Here is a 3,492-nt window from a genome sequence, read left to right as displayed (position 1 = left end):
CTCAGGAGTGTTCACATGAAGCTAGTCTCTTCTTCCAAACAATCCACTTCCACTAAAAACACATTCTGTTGGCACATGTTGCTCTCAGTCATCTCTTGATCAATTTGTGCTTGGATTTTTAAGTGACTTGAATGTGTTTTTAAGTTGTTCTCTCTGTTTGACCCTTAAACACATTCACATATTGAACAATTAGAATTTCCAGTGATAAAATACTTTTAGTTGATTTGTGATGTTATATTAATTTACTTAACATGTGTAGTTAAAATATATTCTGAAAATGATGTCAGACATTAATTTTGTGAGCCTTGAAATGGTAAAAGGATTTTTACCATGACACAAATTCATGACCCATTTATGTGCAAAAATGGTAAAATATGTGATATTAAACAGAAAAAAAATATGTATTTGTTGGCCTAAGCAAATCGAGAGTATTTCACATGTGAAGGAAAGTTGATATGGTTTGGCTCTGTGTCCCTACCCAAATCTCATTGTGTAGCTCCCATAATTCTTACGTGTTGTGGGAAGGACCCAGTGGGAGATAACTGAATCATGGGGGCGAGTCTTTCCCATGCTGTTCTTGTGATAGTGAATAAGTCTCACGAGATCTGGTGGTTTTAAAAATGGGAGTTTCCCTGCACAAGCTCTCTGTCTGCTGCCATCCATGTAAGACGTGACTTGCTCTTCCTTGCCTTCCATCCTGATTGTGAGGTCTCTTCAGCTACCTGGAACTGTAAATCCATTAAACCTCTTTCTTTTGTAAATTGCCCAGTCTCAGGTATGTCTTTATCAGCAGTGTGAAAATGAACTAATACAGTAAATTGGTACCAGAAGTGGAGTGTTGCTGAAAAGATACCCAAAAATGTGGAAGTGACTTTGCAACTGTGTAACAGGCAGAGATTGGAACAGTTTGGAGGGCTCAGAAGAAGACAGGAAAATGTGGGAAAGTTTGGAACTTCCTAGAGACTTGTTGAATGGCTTTGACAGAAATACTGATAGTGATATGAACAATAAGGTCCAGGCTGAGGTGGTCTCAGATGGAGATGAGGAACTTTTTGGGAACTGGAGCAAAGGTTACTGTTTTATGTTTTAGCAGAAAGACTGGCAGCATTTTGCCCCTGCCCTAAAGATTTGTGGAACTTTGAACTTTAGAGAGATGACTTATGGTATTTGGTGGAGGAAATTTCTAAGCAGCAAAGCATTCAAGAGGTGGCTTGAGTGCTGTCAAAGGCATTCAGTTTTATAAGGGATGCAAAGCATAAAAATTTGGAAAATTTGCAGCCTGACAACATGATAGAAAAGAAAATCCCATTTTCTGAGAAGAAGTTCAAGCCAGCTGCAGAAATTTTCAAAAGTAATGAGGAGCCGAATGTCAATTCCCAAGACACTGGGAAAAATGTCTCCAGGGCATCTCAGAGGTCTTCATAGCAGCCCCTCCCATCACAGGCCTGGAGGCCTAGGAAAAAGTGGTTTCATGGGCCAGGCCCAGGGTCTCTGTGCTGTGTGCAGCCTAGGGACTTGGTGCCCTGCATCCAAGCTGCTCCAGCTGTGGCTGAAAGGGGCCAACACAGAGATGTGGCTGTGGCTTCAGGGGGTGGAAACCCCAAGGCTTGGCAGCTTCCACATAGTGTTGAACCTGCGAGTGCATAGAAGTCAAGAATTGGGGTGTGGGAACCTCTGCCTAGATTTCAGAGGATGCACGGAAATGCCTAGTTGCCCAGGCAGAAGTTGTTGCAGGGGCGAGACTCTCATGGAGAACCTCTGCTAGGGCAGTTCAGAAGGGAAATGTGGGTTTGGAGCCCCCACACAGGGTCCCTACTGGGGCACTGCCTAGTACAGCTGTGAGAAGAGGGCCACCATCCTCCAGACCCCAGAATGGTAGACCAACCAACTGCTTGCACCGTTTGCCTGGAAAAACTGCAGACACTCAACACCAGCCGGTGAAAGCAGCCAGGAGGGAGGCTGCATCCTGCAAAGCCACAGGGGTGGAGCTGCCCAAGACCATGGGAAACCACCCCTTGCATCAGTGTGACCTGGATGTGAGACATGGAGTCAAAGGAGATCATTTTGGAGCTTTAAGATTTGACTGCCCTGCTTGATTTTGGACTTGCATGGGGACTGTAGCCCCTTTGTTTTGACCAATTTCTCCCATTTGGAATGGCTGTATTTATCCAATGCCTGTACCCCCATTGTATCTAGGAAGTAACTAACTTGCTTTTGATTTTACAGGCTCATAGATGGAAGGGACTTGCCTTGTCTCAGATGAGACTTTGGACTGTGGACTTGTGAGTTAATGCTGAAATGAGTTAAGACTTTGGGGGACTGTTTGGAAGGCATGATCAGTTTTGAAATGTGAAGATATGAGATTTGGGAGGGGCCAGGGGTGGAATGATATGGTTTGGCTCAGTGTCCCCACCCAAATCTCATCTTGTATCTTCCATAATTCCCATGTGTTGTGAGAGGGACCCATTGGGAGATGACTGAATCATGGGGGCAGGTTTTTTCCATGCTCTCCTTGTGATAGTGAATAAGTCTCATGAAATCTGATAGTTTAAAAAATGAGAGTTTTCCTGCAGAAGCTCTCTCTTTGCCTGCTGCCATCCATGTAAGACATAACTTGCTCCTCCTTGCCTTCCAAATGGCAAATATTCACTTACAGTTATTTTTATATTTAGATGTAGACTATAGGGCTTATAATGTTTTTCTATGCTTGAGAGAAAGAAGAAGAAAAAGGAAGATGTGGAGGAGGAAGAAAAGGAAAAAGAGAAGAAAGAGGAAGAGGAGGGAGAAGAAGAAGGAGGAAGAGAAGAAGAAGAGAAGAAGGAGAAGAACAAGTGGAAGAGGAACTGGAAGAAAGAAAGAAATGGCAGCACTATGCAGACAGCAACTTGCCATTTGTGTTTTACTTCTCTATCCTTAGTGCCTAGACTACTGCTCAACAAATATTTGTTACATGATTAAGGATATAGCTCACCATTTCCCTTTTTTGGACAATTATAATGAATACTACAAATAATACGTTTGACAAGTGTATGTGTGGCATTTTTTCTTAAAATATTGCTTTATGAAAATTGTTGTGAACATAGCTAATTAACTTATACTTTATAATTGCCACCACCACTATCTTCATTATCACAATGAATTAATTAAGTAGCTACCTTCTAGTGTCATTGAGATGCAGTTCTTATTTTCTAAATGCTCACTGTTTCAAAGAAAGCAGAAAAGTATGAAGACACTAAGAATCCCCCTAAATGTACAATTCAAGTATCTATCAATCTATGATACAGAGGTTAGAACCCAAAATTAAGTGTGTGTGTGTGTGTGTGTGTATGAATTTAAATGAAGTAGATGTGTTAAACTCATGATACATTCTTCAGATAAAAATGTGTCATAGGAGTTTTTATGTTAAAAAAAAGAAGTTCAGAAAATATCTTATGGTTAGTATAAGCACATTCCATAAAATTTAACTGGCTCTTTGAATAAGAAAGGCATTTA

Source organism: Homo sapiens, chromosome 3 (assembly GCF_000001405.40).
Source record: "Homo sapiens chromosome 3, GRCh38.p14 Primary Assembly".
Taxonomy (NCBI): Eukaryota; Metazoa; Chordata; class Mammalia; order Primates; family Hominidae; genus Homo; species Homo sapiens.
This window is presented reverse-complemented; position numbering follows the sequence as displayed.